General features: G+C 42.3%; 1 protein-coding gene across 9 annotated transcripts in view; it reads left to right on the forward strand.

Moving 5' to 3' along the window:
- The window catches only part of BDP1 (BDP1 general transcription factor IIIB subunit), a 122,638-nt gene that overhangs the window by 87,072 nt on the left and 19,091 nt on the right, over nt 1-16,475 (forward strand). For 5 of the 9 annotated variants that reach the window (XM_017009630.2, XM_047417372.1, XM_017009631.2 and 2 more), the window contains exons 31-36: nt 1,635-1,785; nt 2,317-2,497; nt 5,960-6,023; nt 6,698-6,884; nt 10,394-10,598; nt 14,164-14,203. In XM_017009630.2, coding sequence (XP_016865119.1) covers nt 1,635-1,785; nt 2,317-2,497; nt 5,960-6,023; nt 6,698-6,884; nt 10,394-10,598; nt 14,164-14,203 — 828 coding nt within the window. Of the gene's footprint in view, nt 1-1,634; nt 1,786-2,316; nt 2,498-5,959; nt 6,024-6,697; nt 6,885-10,393; nt 10,599-14,163; nt 14,204-16,475 lie in introns of those variants that run through there. The other 4 variants (XM_011543511.4, XM_047417374.1, XM_011543512.3 and 1 more) reach the window with 4 other exon arrangements.

A 16,475-nucleotide genomic window follows, 5' to 3' on the forward strand; every position in this document is an offset into this window, starting at 1 on the left:
TATAACTTTTGACTCCCCAAAAACTTACCTACTAATGGCTTACTGTTGATCAGAAGCCTTATTGATAAGATAGTTAATTAACACATATTTTGTATTTTATTTGTGTTATATACTGTATTCTTATGATAAAATGGGCTGGAGAAAATTAAAAAAAAATTGTTTTTTCTGTTTTTTCAACTCATGTCCTTGAGCCGTAGAGAAGTGAAAATGTTATGAGCCATAGAGAAATGAAAATGTTATGAGCCATAGAGAAATGAAAATGTTACTAAGAAAGTCAGACTGGGGCTGGGCACAGTGGCTCATGCCTGTAATCCCAGCACTTTGGGAAGCCAAGGTGGGTGGCTCATTTGATGAAACCAGACTGGGCTGGGCCACAAGGCAAAATCCCATCTCTACAAAAGTACAAAAATTAGCCAGGCATGGTGGTGCATGTCTGTAGTCCTAGCTACTCAGGAGGCTGAGGTGGGAGTATCACCTGAGCCTGGGGAGGTTGAGGTCGCAGTGAACTGTGATCATGCCACTGTACTCCGGCCTGGGCAGCAGAGTGAGACTTCATCTCAAAAAAAGAAAAAAGAAAAAAGAAAATCAGGCTGGGCACGGTGGTGGTGCACACCTGAAATCCTAGCCCTTTGGGAGGCAGAGGCAGGAAGATCACGTGAGCCCAGGAGTTTTGAGACCAGCTTGGGCAATATAGGGAGACCTTGTCTCTACAAAATAATTTTTAACAGTTAGCCAGACGTGGTGGCACACACCTGTGGTCCCAGCTACTCAGAGGTTTGAGCTCGCCAGATCAAGGCTGTCGTAAATTGTGATATTGCCACTGCACTCTAGCCTGGGTGACAGAGCAAGACCCTGTCTCAAAGAAAAATAAAAGGAAGAAAATTATAAGGAAGAGAAAATACATTTTCAGTACTGCATTGTATTTATTAGTACCAAAAGTTTATGTCATCTGTTTACAAGATGAAACATCTGTCTGAAATGGTGGGCAACCCCAACTACAGGTGTCAACCTGTAATACATATCAAGCAATTCAGCTTTTTCTTACAATGTTATGACTCTCTCTGCTTCTTGGGAGTGCTTCCAACATCATTAATGATACTTTGTATGGGTCCCATGGGGTTATTCACAATATTGCACTAAACATGATGAAAAATACATGAGAACCATGAGAGGTCACCTTTTCTAAAACCTCTCTCAACGTGCAGTCTCAAATTACCTCTTCTATATAGAAGTCTTTTTTTCCCCGTTTGTGATATTATTCTTTGCAGTGCAGCTCCTTTTCCAAGACTTCCTCTAAAGTGGAACTAGCCCAACCTCGGTGTACCCACCTCGAAGTCTCTTTTATATGTTGAGTTTCTAATTATTGATGCTAGTACCATAAAATGAGGATACAATTATCATGGCAGCCATGAGTGAAATTTTTGTAGAACAGGATTTATTAATCATGTGTTTTACTGTTCAAAAATCTATTAGCTAGGACTTTCTGCCATGTGTATAAGCCTGATTTGTGGAATAAGAGAAGTTTGGAAGAGTCACTATATAGGAATCTTCCTTTTAAGAGGGCATATGTTTCTAATACAGGGATTTTAGCTGTATTATTTTGGTCTATATCGTAAGTGTGCTTTTTGTTTAAGAAACAGAGAAAAATGCTTCCAAAGCAACAGAATTGGAAAATAAAAACCTCGGACCAGTTACAACAGCAGAGAATAAGGATCAGAGCAAATTGGCATGTGTACATGGTATCAAAGGGACCAGTATTTCTTCAGAAGTAAACCTAACTGAAAGGTAAAAGAGTGAAGAGGTTCTGAGATTCAGTTTATATTGTTTCAGCTATAGCCTTAAGTTGTGGCTGTAAGAATTTGAAAAAGAAGTTCTGGCCGGGCACGGTGGCTCACGCCTGTAATCCCGGCACTTTGGGAGGCCAAGACGGGAGGATCACGAGGTCAGGAGATCGAGACCATCCTGGCTAACACGGTGAAACCCCGTCTCTACTAAAAAATACAAAAAATTAGCCGGGCGTGGTGGCGGGCGTCTGTAGTTGTAGCTACTTGGGAGGCCGAGGCAGGAGAATCGTGTGAACCTGGGAGACGGAGCTTGCAGTGAGCCAAGATCGCGCCACTGCACTCCAGCCTGGGCGACAGAGTGAGACTCTGTCTCAAAAAAAAAAAAAAAAAAAAAAAAAAAGTCCTATTGCATTAAATATGTTTTAAAAGTTTGAAAACCATTGAATTAGATGATCTTTTACACACCTAGCTCTAAAAATAATTCCATGATTTGCCTGATTTCAAATGACATGCATGCTAAACTCTCTTTCAGAAACGAAAATCAAGAAGAGAGCTCTCAGGAGGTTCACATGTTGTCAGTTGCTCCAGTTGCTTCCTCTGAGACAGGGCCCTGCACACTTGGTTTGGATAGGGGTCTTGGTGAAAATTCTGTTGAAGAGCCCCAGATAAAGGACTCTAAAGGAGACAGTGTGCTTACACTTCCTGTGCCAGAGGTAAAAGAATGTACAGTATAATAAGGGATAGCAAGGTGTTTTCCTCCATTTAAAAAAAAAAAGGTATAATTTACATACAATAAACTTCACCTCTTTTATCTTCATTTTTCTTTATTTCTTCTTTTTTTTTTGGAGACAGTCTTGTTCTGTTGCCCAGGCAAGAGTGCAGTGGTATGATCTCAGCTCACTGCAACCTCTGCCACCCAGATTCAACAGATTCTCCTGCCTCAGCCTGCCAAGTAGCTGGGACTACAGGCATGTGTCACCACAGCCAGCTAGGTTTTGTATTTTTAGTAGAGACGGGATTCGCCATATTGGCCAGGCTGGTCTTGAACGCCTGGCTTCAAGTGATCCACCTGCGTTGGCCTCCAAAAGTGTTGGGATTACAGGCATGAGCCACTGTGCCTGGCTAACTTCACCCTTTTTAGTGTACAGTTCTTCAGGTTTTTATAACTATGCAGTCATGTAACCAATACATGAACAGTTCCATAAAAAGTTCCCCAAGTGAGAGAAGCCTTGGACTTGAAGAACATGTATACATTATCCAGTTAAAGGGAGAGGAACGTGTGTGTAAAGAACAGGTGTGGACCGGTTGCAGTGGCTCACACTTTTAATGCCATTAAAAAAAAAAAAAGCCAGGCATGGTGGCATTTGCCTGTAGTCCCAGCTACTCAGGAGGCTGAAGTGGGAGGATCGTTTCAGCCTGGGAGGTAGAGGCTGCAGTGAGCTGTGGTCGCCATGCACTCCAGCCTGGGAGACAGAGTGAGACCCTGTTTCCAAGAACAAACCAGTATGAAACAGCATGTAAGCAGTATGAGTGGAATATTAATGAAGAAAGTGATTAGAGATGAACTTAGAAAGATAGCCTGCAGACAGATCATAAAAGGATTTTTATGACTTGCTAAGGAGTTTGGTTACATTTAAAGTTACGAGATTCCTTACCCCACCCTGACTTTTTAATTTTTACTTTTTATTTTGAAAAATTTTAAACTTAGAAGTTACAAAAATCTTACAAAGAATTATCCCATACACTTCACTTTGATTCATTAATTGTCAATATTTTGCCTCATTTGTTTTTTTACTCTGTCTTGCTCTCCATCTGTATAGATAAATACTTGGCTGGGTGGGGTAGCTCACGCCTGTAATCCCAGTACTTTGGGAGGCCGAGGTGGGCAGATCACCTGAGGTCAGGAGTTCAAGAACAGCCTGGCAAACAAGGTGAAACCCCATCACTACAAAAATACAAAAATTAGCCAGTCGTGGTGGCATGCACCTGTAATCCCAGCTACTTGGGAGGCTGAGGTGTGAGAATTGCTTGAACCCAGGAGACAGAGGTTGCAGTGGCCAAAGATCGTGCCATTGTACTCCAGCCTGGGCGACAGAACAAGACTCTGTCTCAAAAAAAAAAAAAAAAAAAAAAAAAAAACCAAAAAACTGAATCATTTGAAAGTAGGTTGAGTCCATAAATACCTCATCTTGTATCTAATAAGGACAAGGAAGTTCTCTTACAGAGAAAGGACAGTACTGTTGTCACACTCAGTATTACTACACTATTTAACATTGTCTCAACAATATGTAATATACAGTTTCATTCCAGTTTCCCTAGTTGTCCCAATCATGTCCATTATAGCTTTTTTTCTTTTTGAGACAGAGTCTTACTCTGTCACCCAGGCTGGAGTGCAGTGGCACGATCTCAGCTCACTGCAACCTCTGCCTCCCAGGCTCAAGTGATTCTTGTGCCTCAGCCTCCCAAGTAGCTGGGATTAAAGGTGTGTCCCACCACACCTGACTAATTTTTTCGTATAATATTTTTAGTAGAGATGGGGTTTCACTATGTTGGCCAGGCTGGTCTTGAGCTCCTGGCCTCAAATGATCTGCCCACCTCAGCCTCCCAAAGTGCTGGGATTACAGGTGTGAGCCACCACGCCTGGCCAGCTTTTTTTTTATTTTTCTTAAATTCAAGATCCAATCAGGGCTCTCACATTGCATTTGATTATCCTTTCTCCTTATTTTCCTTTAATCTAGAGTATTTTTCTTGTCTTTTTGTTCACAAAAGAGAAAAAGCAAGAGAAGTTTAGACCAGTCTAGGCTGGCCTACAGTCTGGATTTCTTTTTTTTAATTGCTTCCTCATTACTAGATTCAACTTACATATTTTAGGGCAAGATTACTATATAGGTAATAATGTGTTCTTCCTTTTATATCACATCGGGAGACACATAATGTCAGTTTGTCCCATTATTGGTGATGCTGACTGATCACTTGGCTAGAATGGTACCTACCAGATTTCTTCATTATAATGGCATCTTTTCCATTCTGTATTAGTAACTTGTCAAATGAGACCAACGCAGCAAGCTGTTACCCTGTAGTTTTAATATCCACTGATGATTCCTGCCTTAATCAGTTACTGACATTGTTGGTTACAAAATGAAAGTTTTAAGATTTTAAGCAGGCCAGGCGCAGTGGCTCACACCTGTATTCCAGCTCTTTGGGAGGCTGAGGCGGGTGGATCATGAGGTCAAGAAATTGAGATCATCCTGGCCAACATGGTGAAACTCTGTCTCTACTAAAAATACAAAAATTAGCTGGGCATGGTGGTGTGTGCCTGTAGTCCCAGCTACTCAGGAGACTGAGGCAGGAGAATTGCTCGGACCCAGGAGGCAGAGGGGCGGAGGTTGCAGTGAGCCGAGATTGTGCCACTGCACTCCAGCCTGGCGACAGAGCGAGACTGTCTCAAAAAAATAAATAAATAAATAAAATAATAAAAGATTTTAAGCAGTAGAAGCCCGGCATAGTGTCTTACACCTATAATCCCAGCACTTTGGGAGGCCTAGGTGGGTGGATCACTTGAGCCCAGGAGTTTGAGACCAGCCTGGGCAACATGGCAAAACCCCATCTCTACCCTTGAAAAATACAAAAAAATTAGCCAGGTGTGGTGGCGTGCATCTGTACTCCCAGCTACTCAGGAGGTTGAGGTGGGAGGATCGCTTGAGCCCAGGAGGCGGAGGTTGTGGTGAGCTGAGAGATTTTAAGCAGTAGAGAATTACAGTCAGGATTGCATTTTAGAAAAACCATGTTTGTGGTTTTTTGGAAAACAGGAGGGAACCATACTGCATGCAGGGAAAGCAGTTTGCCTTCATTCAGATGTCACCTACTAATAGTACAATGGCTGGTGTGATGGGAGTAGAGAAAAAGTTGTGGGGTTTGGGTCTCCCTATCCTGTCACTTCAAAAATCATTTCATAAAATGCACATATTTAACAATGTAGTCAGGATTCTTTGTATTAATATTTATTTAAATGAATCAAAAGTTTATTGGAACAGCCTAAAGCTTCAAACACTTGAAAACTGTATATGGTTAGATGTTGTTGAGTTAATCTCTTCACTATATCATATTGACAGGAATAACTTTTTAAATGTAAGATTTGGCCAACCTGACTCTTTCATTTTAATTTTTTATGGCAGTATACACCAACAAGTATTCCAGAAGTCCAACAAGAGAATATAATCAATCCTCAAGACCTAACAGGTATGATAATATGCTTCAGTGACATGTCATAGAACTTAGTTGTATGATTTTTACCCCTTATTTAACTATGGAAAAACATAAAACAGTTGTATTTTAGTCTATGCTGGCCTTAAATTTAAAACGTTTTATAGAAACACCTTGAAGTATTTTGTGTATCAGTTTTGTTTTTCAGAGTCATAAATCTTCTCCCTAGTATATCACCTTTATCCTTTATGAAATTACTTCTTGGGCCAGTCATGGTGGCTCACTTTGGGAGGCGGAGGTGGGTAGATCACTTGAGGCCAGGAGTTCGAGACCAGCCTGGCCAACATGGTGAAACACCATCTCTACTAAAAATACAAAACTAGCCAGGCACGGTGGCATGCACCTGTAATCCCATCTACTTGGGAGACTGAGGCACAAGAATCGCTTGAACCCAGGAGGCGGAGGTTGCAGTGAGCCGAGATTGTGCCACTGTATTTCAGCCCGGGCGACAGAGCGAGACTCTGTCTCCCCCCCGCAAAAAAGGAGGGAACTTACTTCCTCAGGCTGGGGGGTTGTTGGGGGGAGCATTTATTTATTTAGTCTTGATGATAAGTTGTCCTGAGACTGTCTTTTTAGAAATGAAATAAATTAATGATACTCTGTTATTTCATAGTTGAGCTTTTTTATTACTAACTTTTAAACTTTGATAGTGAATCTAGTTGCTAATGTACCTCAAGATGGAGAAGATGAACAAGCCTTTATTTTAACTCTGGTGGAAATCCCAGCCAATGCAGTAGAAGAATTTACTGATGCCACTGCACAGTTCATGCCAAACCCTTTACTGCCAGCTCCCATATTGGTCAAATCAGTGAATACCGAAGAAAGGGGTGACATGAGGTAACGAATGAGTGAAACTGTTTTTGCTAGGAGGAAAAGTGATTTATGAACTAAGTAGCATTGATTGAACAAACCATTCACCAATGTTAGTTGTTATTGTTGTGGAGATCTTATTTATCATTTATGTGGTAAGTTAGAGAAGAAATGTAATGTGGTAGATTTTATATCTGATAAAGATGCCACTTAAATGTTTCATGTATTAGTTTTGTATGAAACTTGTTTATTAAGTTATTTTGAAAGCTAAAAAAATTAACAGTCTAGATCATAAAATGATACCTGTTAAAAGTGTGGTTACTTTGTATAAACATACACATATGAAACTGTGAAATATGCATTCACAGAAAGTTGTGAAAATAGTACAGTGGTAATAAATACAGTTTTTTTTCTTAAGAGACAGGGACTTGCTTTGGTGCCCAGGCTAGAGTGCCAGGCTGAAGTGTAGTGGTGCCATCATAGTTCACTGCATCCTCGAACTCCTGGGCGCAAGAGATCCTCCTGGCCAGGCGTGGTGGCTTGCGCCTTTAATCCCAGGGCTTTGGGAGGCCAAGGTGGGCAGATCACCTGAGGTCAGGAGTTGAAGACCAGCTTGGCCAACATGGCGAAACTCCATCACTACTACAAATACAAAAATTAGCTGGTCATGGTGGCCTGCGCCTGTAATCCCAGCTACTCAGGAGACGGAGGCAGGAGAACCACTTGAACCCGGGAGGTGGAAGTTGCAGTGAGCTGAGATTGCACCACTGCACTCTAGCCTGGGTGATAGAGTGAGGAAAAAAAAAAAAAGATCCTCATGCCTCAGCCTTTCAAGTAGCTTCTCAGCTACAGGTGCGCACCACTGTGGTTAGCTAATTAAAAAAAAATTTTTTTTTTCTTTTTTCAGAGGTAGAGTCTTGCTCTGGTACCCAGGCTTGTCTTGAACTCCTGGCCTCATGCATTCCTCCCACCTTGGCCTCCCAAAGTGCTGAGATTACAGGCATGAGCCACTGTGCCCAGCTGTTCTTGATACTCTTATTTTAATTCTTTATTTTGGAAGTAAGTTATATCTTAACTACCATTAATTAAGATAATTGTCCATCGTGTAGCATTAGAAATTGAAGACTTTAATATTTTTATTTTTGGAGACAGAATCTTGCTCTGTTGCCCAGGTGGAGTGTAGTGGCGTGATCTCAGCTCACTGCAACCTCCACCTCCCGGGTTCAAGTGATTCTCGTGCCTAAGCCTCCCAAGTAGCTGGGACTATAGGTGCGTGCCACCACACTGGCTAATTTTTTGTATTTTTAGTAGAGATGGGGTTTTACCATGTTGACCAGGCTGGTCTCAAACTCCTGGCCTCAGGTAATACACCTGCCTCGGTCTCCCAAAGTGTTGGGATTACAGACGTGAGCCACTGCGCCTGGACTAGAAGGGACATTTTAGGTTAAACGTTTAACTTTACAATTAGGGAAAATACTATTAAATATTCAGATTTATTTTATTATTATTTTTTAGTTGTTTATTTATTTATTTATTTATTTATTTATTTTTAATTGATCATTCTTGGGTGTTTCTCGCAGAGGGGGATTTGGCAGGGTCATAGGACAATAGTGGAGGGAAGGTCAGCAGATAAACAAGTGAACAAAGGTCTCTGGTTTTCCTAGGCAGAGGACCCTGCGGCCTTCCGCTGTTTTTGTGTCCCTGGGTACTTGAGATTAGGGACTGGTGATGACTCTTAACGAGCATACTGCGTTCAAGCATCTGTTTAACAAGCACATCTTGCACCGCCCTTAATCCATTCAACCCTGAGTGGACACAGCACATGTTTCAGAGAGCACAGGGTTGGGGGTAAGGTCACAGATCAACAGGATCCCAAGGCAGAAGAATTTTTCTTAGTACAGAACCAAATGAAAAGTCTCCCATGTCTACTTCTTTCTACACAGACACGGCAACCATCCGATTTCTCAATCTTTTCCTCACCTTTCCCCCTTTCTATTCCACAAAACCGCCACGTCATCATGGCCCATTCTCAATGAGCCGCTGGGCACACCTCCCAGACGGGGTGGTGGCCGGGCAGAGGGGCTCTTCACTTCCCAGCAGGGGCGGCCGGGCAGAGGCGCCCCTCACTTCCCAGCAGGGGCGGCCGGGCAGAGGTGCCCCTCACCTCCCGGACGGGGCGGCTGGCCGGGAGGGGGGCTGACCCCCCCACCTCCCTCCCAGACGGGGTGGCTGGCCGGGCAGAGGGGCTCCCCACTTCCCAGTAGGGGCAGCCAGACAGAGGCGCCCCTCACCTCCCGGACGGGGCAGCTGGCCAGGCGGGGGGCTGACCCCCCCACCTCCCTCCCGGACGGGGCGGCTGGCCGGGCGGGGGGCTGACCCCCCCACCTCCCTCCCGGACGGGGCGGCTGGCCTGGCGAGGGCTGACCCCCACCTCCCTCCCGGACGGGGTGGCTGCCGGGCGGAGACGCTCCTCACTTCCCAGACGGGGTGGCTGCCGGTAGGAGGGGCTCCTCACTTCTCAGACGGGGCGGCTGCCGGGCGGAGGGGCTCCTCACTTCTCAGATGGGGCAGCCGGGCAGAGACGCTCCTCACCTCCCAGACAGGGTCGCGGCCGGGCAGAGGCGCTCCTCACATCCCAGACGGGGCGGCGGGGCAGAGGCGCCCCCCACATCTCAGATGATGGGCGGCCGGGCAGAGACGCTCCTCACTTCCTAGATGGGATGGTGGCCGGGAAGAGGCGCTCCTCACTTCCTAGATGGGATGGCCGCCGGGCAGAGACGCTCCTCACTTTCCAGACTGGGCAGCCAGGCAGAGGGGCTCCTCACATCCCAGACGATGGGCGGCCAGGCAGAGGCTGCAATCTCGGCACTTTGGGAGGCCAAGGCAGGCGGCTGGGAGGTGGAGGCTGTAGCGAGCCGAGATCACGCCACCGCACTCCAGCCTGGGCACCATTGAGCACTGAGTGAACAAGACTCCGTCTGCAATCCCGGCACGTCGGGAGGCCGAGGCCGGCGGATCACTCGCGGTTAGGAGCTGGAGACCAGCCCCGCCAACACAGCGAAACCCCGTCTCCACCAAAAAAATACGAAAACCAGTCAGGTGTGGTGTCGCGCGCCTGCAATCGCAGGCACTCGGCAGGCTGAGGCAGGAGAACCAGGCAGGGAGGCTGCAGTGAGCCGAGATGGCAGCAGTACAGTCCAGCTTCGGCTCGGCATCAGAGGGAGACCGTGGAAAGAGAGGGAGAGGGAGACCATGGGGAGAGGGAGAGGGAGAGGGTAATATTCAGATTTAATTCAATACTATGGAATTTAAGTTATAAGCCCTGAAGTATGAATGGAGCTCAAAACTATTAATAGCATTTTTGGGGCCATGGCCGTGTATCTCTTAGTTTGGAGTTTTTTGGTTTTATTGGAATTTTCATTGGAATACCTCAGCCTTTAACTTTATTATTGGAAGGATTTCTAGGATCCTTTAAAAAAAAAAGTGTTAAATAACTTCTAATTCAGTAATTTAGTATGTATTTCTTTTCTATGCAGTATTTGTTTACCAGCAACTTCAGTTGGTCAAGATGCCATGGGTTTATCTATTTCTGGAAGAGATAATTCTAAAAAGCCGCCTGATAATTTGGATCTTGTATCTAGGAAGAGATTTCAATGCAGGCTTGATAAAAATGACCACATTCCTCCTGCCAAAAAACGTTCACTCACTTTAAGAGATGACTGTCAAGAATATACCACTGAGGTAAGTGGTATATTAAGTACCACTCAATATGGCCATTAAGTAAGATGGCCATATTGCAACAGATCTGTTCCTATTTTTTCCTTTATTCTCTTTAAACTTTTAGATATATATAAAGATAGTTCTGACATTTATCATCATAAGTTATTCAAGTAAAACTGGTTTTGGATTATCACTTTTAACCAATGGTAAATGAAAATTGATGGAGAGTAATCAAGAAACTTATTCCCAGCTCTGTATTGGTGGCTAAAAATAAGACCAAAAGCATTATATATGTCTGGATCTTGGCTCTACCACCTAGTAGCTGTAACACCTTAGGCAAGATACTTCACCTCTCTCTCTGATCAGGTTTCCTAATATGTAAAATGATAATACTAGTATCATCATCATCATCATCATGCCTAAAGCTACCCATTGCTTTTAGGAGTAAAACCACAGCCTTTAGTGCCCCACATTGTCTTGCTGATTTTTGTCTCTAGTCTCATTTTGTGCCAGCTTCTGCCTCACTTTCTGGCCACACTGGCCATCTTTCAATTCCTTAAATGTCCCAGGACACTTCATTTGATGTACCTTCTGTGTGAAACATTCCCTTGAAAAACATACAGACTTCTTTAGTTCAGTCATCAGTGCCTCAGGGAAGTCCGGCCAGACCATGCGAATTCAGTCACCAACCACTATGTTGTAGGTTTCCTAGTACCCTCTTGTTTTTATACTCATCTAGTACTCATCATAATTTGTAACTACACTATGGAAAAGTCCTTTTAAAACCCGTGTTCTCAAAGAGAAAGTTAAAGACCAATAGTTCTTGAGTAATAGTTGACAAAGAGCAAGTGTGCTTTTATATATTTGGTGAGTAAAAAAATGGCATATCCCAGAACTGTTTTATTTTCTCTTGTTATGGGTAAGATTGAACATCTTTTCATATGCTTAAGAGCCATGTGTATTTCCTTTTCTATGAACTGACTTTTCCTTTACCCACTTTTCAATTAGATTATTGATCTTTTTCTTAGAGAACTGGAAGAACTCTTATATATGTCTGTGGTAATGAGTTGCAAATCTTTTTTCCCAGTTTGTCATTGTCTCTTGACTCTGCTTTCTTTGTTGTTGTTTTCTCATGCAGAACTTTTGGATTAACTTTTTATATGAACATTTCCAGACATATTAAAAGATAGACTAGGTATAATGTGCCCCCATGTACCAGTCACCCAGTTTCAATAATTTATCAGCATTCCATGCAGACATTATTTTGTTTTGTTTTAAAAATATCTTTAATGACATGGACAAAAGACCATAGTACTTTACTAAGTACAAAACTAGGTCACCAGACTATGATACGCCATTTAAAAAATGGTAGTTATACAGTGGTGTGAATATGTAAGAAAAGTATAATGTCCATTTGGCTTATTTGTGATTTTTATTTTCTAAACTTTGTTTTTAGCATTTTAACAATTTTTTAAAAATTGCTTTTACTAGTTGAGTATCCTTTATTCGAAATGCTTAGGACCGGAAGTGTTTCAAATTTCAGATTTTTTTGAATTTTAGAATAATTGCATTATACTTACATTTGTATTATACTTAACAGTTCCACATCCCAAACCTGAAAAGCCAAAATCTGAAATGCTTCAATGAGCATTTCCTTTGAGTGTCATGTCAGCACTCAAAAAGTTTAGAATTTTGGAGCATTTCGGATTTTCAGCTTTGGGATGCTCAGCCTGTACAAAATTGTAGGATACACATACACTGTATTCAGATAGAAGACATTTTTTATTTTCCATAATCAGATTTATCAGTCTTTTTGTGTATGGCTTCTGGAGATTATGTTATACATTGAAAGTCCTTTGAGACTTAAATTTCCTAGTTAATGTTAATATTACTGATTTGTTGCGAATTTGATTTGGTGTAAGGAATAGGGCCAAGTTAATTTTCCTCATATGACTTTTACCGTTTACTGAATAATTCATCTTATTTCCACTGATAGGAAATTCTGCTTTTATCAGTAAGACAGTAAATCTTCATATTTGTTTGGATATATTCCTAAAACTTCCTTTTCTTTTATGTTGATTCACCTATTTGTTCTGGGGCCAGTATCATCATACTGTTTGAATTTTTGTAGTTTTCTTTATTCTTTTTTTTTTTTTTGAGATGGAGTTTCTCTCCTATTGCCCAGGCTGGAGTGCAATAGCGTGATCTCAGCTCACTGCAACCTCCACCTCCCAGATTCAAGTGATTCTCCTGCCTCAGCCTCCCGAGTAGCTGGGATTACAGGCAGCCGCCACCACGCCCAGCTAATTTTGTAATTTTAGTAGAGACGGGGTTTCTCCATGTTGGTTAGGCTGGTCTCGAACTCCGGACCTCAGATGATCCGCCTGCCTCGGCCTTGCAAAGTGATGGGATATTACAGGTGTGGGCCACCACGCCCGGCCGAATTTTTGTAGCTTTATGATGCACTTTGGTATCTTATAGGGACAGTATCTCTCCCAAACCCATACAATTTTCTTCTTTTTTCAAGTTTCTCCTCATTACTTATATGTTCTCAAATTAATATGAATTTTAGAATTAACTTGTTTAGCTCTTTAAAAAAGAGTTCTATTGGTATTTGTATTTGAATCATATTAACTTAGATTAACTTAGGGGAAATTGACAGCATAATTATAATATTGAATCTTCCTATTCAAAAACATGGTATGTCTTTCCATTTGTTTAAGTCTTGTTTTGTGTCTTTCTATTTTGTGTTAAACTCTTCTTCATATAAATCTTACACATTTCTTATAGGTTACCCCTATGAGTTTTATCTTTTTTGTTGCTGTTATCATTAAGTTCTTTTCTATTTAGAGAGCTTACTGAGTTCCCTCATTGTATGCAGTAATTTTTCAGTTGGTTCTCTTGGGTTTTGTAGGTAAACAGACATACCATCTGCAAATATAATTTTAATTCTTCTACTTTTTGTAGTTCTAATTTTTTTGTAATTATAGTGGCTAATATAACTAAAAAATAATATTAAAAAGTGATCCAAATAGTGCACATCTTTTTTTTTAATTTCCGATTTTAATAGGAGAACTTCCAGTGTTTATTATGTGGGATGCTAGCTTCTAGATTGCAATAGTTATATTTTATAGTGTTAAGAAAATATCTGTTCCATTTTATAAGTTTTTTTCAAGAATGAATATCATTGGGTACCTTTTCTATAAATACAGATGATTTTTCTCCTCAGGTCTGTTGGTTTATATTAGATTTCATAGTGTCAGATCATCTTTGCATTCCTGAAACGAGCTCTACTTGATTGTGATGTAGTAGTCTTTTGATGTGCTGCTTGTACTATTTCTTTGATACTTTTGCACTGATATTGAGACTGATTATAAAAGGCAGTTAGCAGCTTTCTCTCTTCCAGTGGGCTCTGGAACATTTTAAAATAGTAGCAATATTTTTGCCATAAATGTTTAGTAGAATTCCTCTAAGAGCTTTTTGGGAGATAACATAGTTTCTTTACTTAAAGAAAAAAAGGAAATAAAATTAATTTCAGTTTTACTTGATAAATTTCTAAATTTTTTTTTAAATTTTCTTAAAATAGGTGCACTCAAAGGAATTAACAAATGTTTTTGAGGAAACAGGTAAGTGAAATACATTTTAACATGATTGCATTTTGCTAAATACTCCTGATTATTTGGGATATACCTTGTTCAAATATGAGATTGAAACTGAGTATTCCTTTTCTCCAAGAGTAATACTTGTATTATCAGCACTTCTTTCCTGCAAAGGCCTTGGATTTGGCAGTTTGGTAGGCAAAAGAAGGTCTTTTCATCCTGTCATCAGTTGAAGACTATGTGGCTACAAGGATTTTCTATGTAAGCTCAATAACTACACTTTAGGAGTTAGCTGAATGTAATGGCTTTTTTTCTCCCCCGCCCCGCCAAGACAGGTTCTCACTCTGTTACCTAGGCTGGAGTGCAGTGGCACAATCACAGCTCACTGCAGCCTCCACCTCCCAGGCTCAAGCAATCCTCCCACCTCAGCCTCCTAACTAGCTGGGACTACAGGCATGCGCCACTATGCCAAGCTAATTTTTTTTTTTTTTTTTTTTTTTTTTTGAGACGGTGTCTCGCTCTGTCACCCAGGCTGGAGTGCAGTGGTGCGATCTCGGCTCACTGCAAGTTCTGCCTCCTGGGCTCACACCATTCTCCTGCCTCAGCCTCCCTAGTAGCTGGGACTACAGGCACCTGCCACCACGCCCAGCTAATTTTTTGTATTTTTAGTAGAGACAGGATTTCACCGTATTAGCCAGGATGGTCTTGATCTCCTGACCTCGTGATCTGCCGGCCTCGAAATTTTTGTGTTTTTTGTAGAGACAGAGTTTGTATTTTTTGTAGAGACCATGTTGTCCAGCCTGGTCTTGAATGTATTTTTGTAGAGATGGGGTTTCGCCATGTTGCCCATGCTGGTCTTGAACTCCTGGCTTCAAGCAGTCTGCCCACCCCAGCCTCCAAAAGTACTGGGATTATAAGCATGAGCCACCACCTGTGGCCTATAATGGCATTCATAATAGGTTCTTTACCCTGAAAATTAGTTTAGTTCTAGAGATTTTTTCAGGCTTAAGCCACCTATGGAAGCTGAAAAGATCTTAGAGTCTTCTATTTTTATAGGAATCTAAAATTTCTGTGGGACATTAAACCACTTAGGATCTATTTCCCTCATGACTAAAGCTGCCAGTCACATTTATCCTGTGTTTATACAACTCTGTTTTTCATTTCTTTTATGACATTATTTCTCTTTTCTCTCAAAGTTAGGCTTATCATTCACACCTATAGCCATTGCTTTACCATGGCAATGGCACTCAAGAATAAAAATGTTGCTGATGGCATCTTACAGAGTTAGAGTTACAAGATAGAGAAGGGTTTGATAACCTATGATGGTTCTGGTTCTTTAAAAACACTTATAATGGGCCAGGCGCAGTGGCTCATGGCCTGTAATCTCAGCACTTTGGGAGGCCGAGGTGAGTGGATCACCTGAGGTCAGCCTGGCCAACATGGCGAAACCCCATCTCTACTAAAAATACAAAAAATTAGCCAGGCGTGGTGGTGGGCGCCTGTAATCCTAGCTATTTGGGAGGCTGAGGCAGGAGATTGCTTGAACCTGGGAGACGGAGGTTGCAGCCAGCTGAGATCACGCCATTGCACGCCAGCCTGGGTGACAGAGCAAATCTCTGTCTCAAAAAACAAACAAAAAATACTTGACTGGGCGTGGTGGCTCACGCCTGTAATCCCAGCACTTTGGGAGGCCAAGGCAGGTGGATCACCTGAGGTCAGGAGTTCGAGACCAGCCTGGCCAACATGGCGAAGCCTCATCTCTACTAAAAATACAAAAATAAGCTGGGCGTGGTGGCGGGCACCTGTAATCCCAGTTACTCGGCAGGCTGAGGCAGGAGAATCACTTGAACCTGGGAGGCAGAGGTTGCGGTGAGCCGAGATTGCGCCATTGCACTCCAGCCTGGGCAACAAGAGCGAAACTCTGTCTCAAAAACAAAAAAAAAAAACAACAAAAAAACCCCACACATATAATGGGCTGAGCACAGTGGCTCACACCTATAATCCCAGCACTTTGGGTTGCCAAAGTTGGTGGGTCACTTGAGGTCAGGAGTTCGGGAGCAGCCTGGACAACATGGTGAAACACTGTCTCTGCTAAAAATACAAAAATTAGTTAGGTGTGGTGGTGCATGCCTGTAATCCCAGCTACTCGGGAGGCTGAGGTGAGTGAATTGCTTGAACCCGGGAGGCAGAGGTTGCAGTGAGCCGAGATCGCGCCTCTGCACTCCAGCCTGGACGACAGAGCGAGACTCTGTCTCAAAAAAACAAAAACAAAAAAACTCTTATAATGTTAATACAGTCT

This window comes from Homo sapiens, chromosome 5 (genome assembly GCF_000001405.40).
Source record: "Homo sapiens chromosome 5, GRCh38.p14 Primary Assembly".
NCBI lineage: Eukaryota > Metazoa > Chordata > Mammalia > Primates > Hominidae > Homo > Homo sapiens.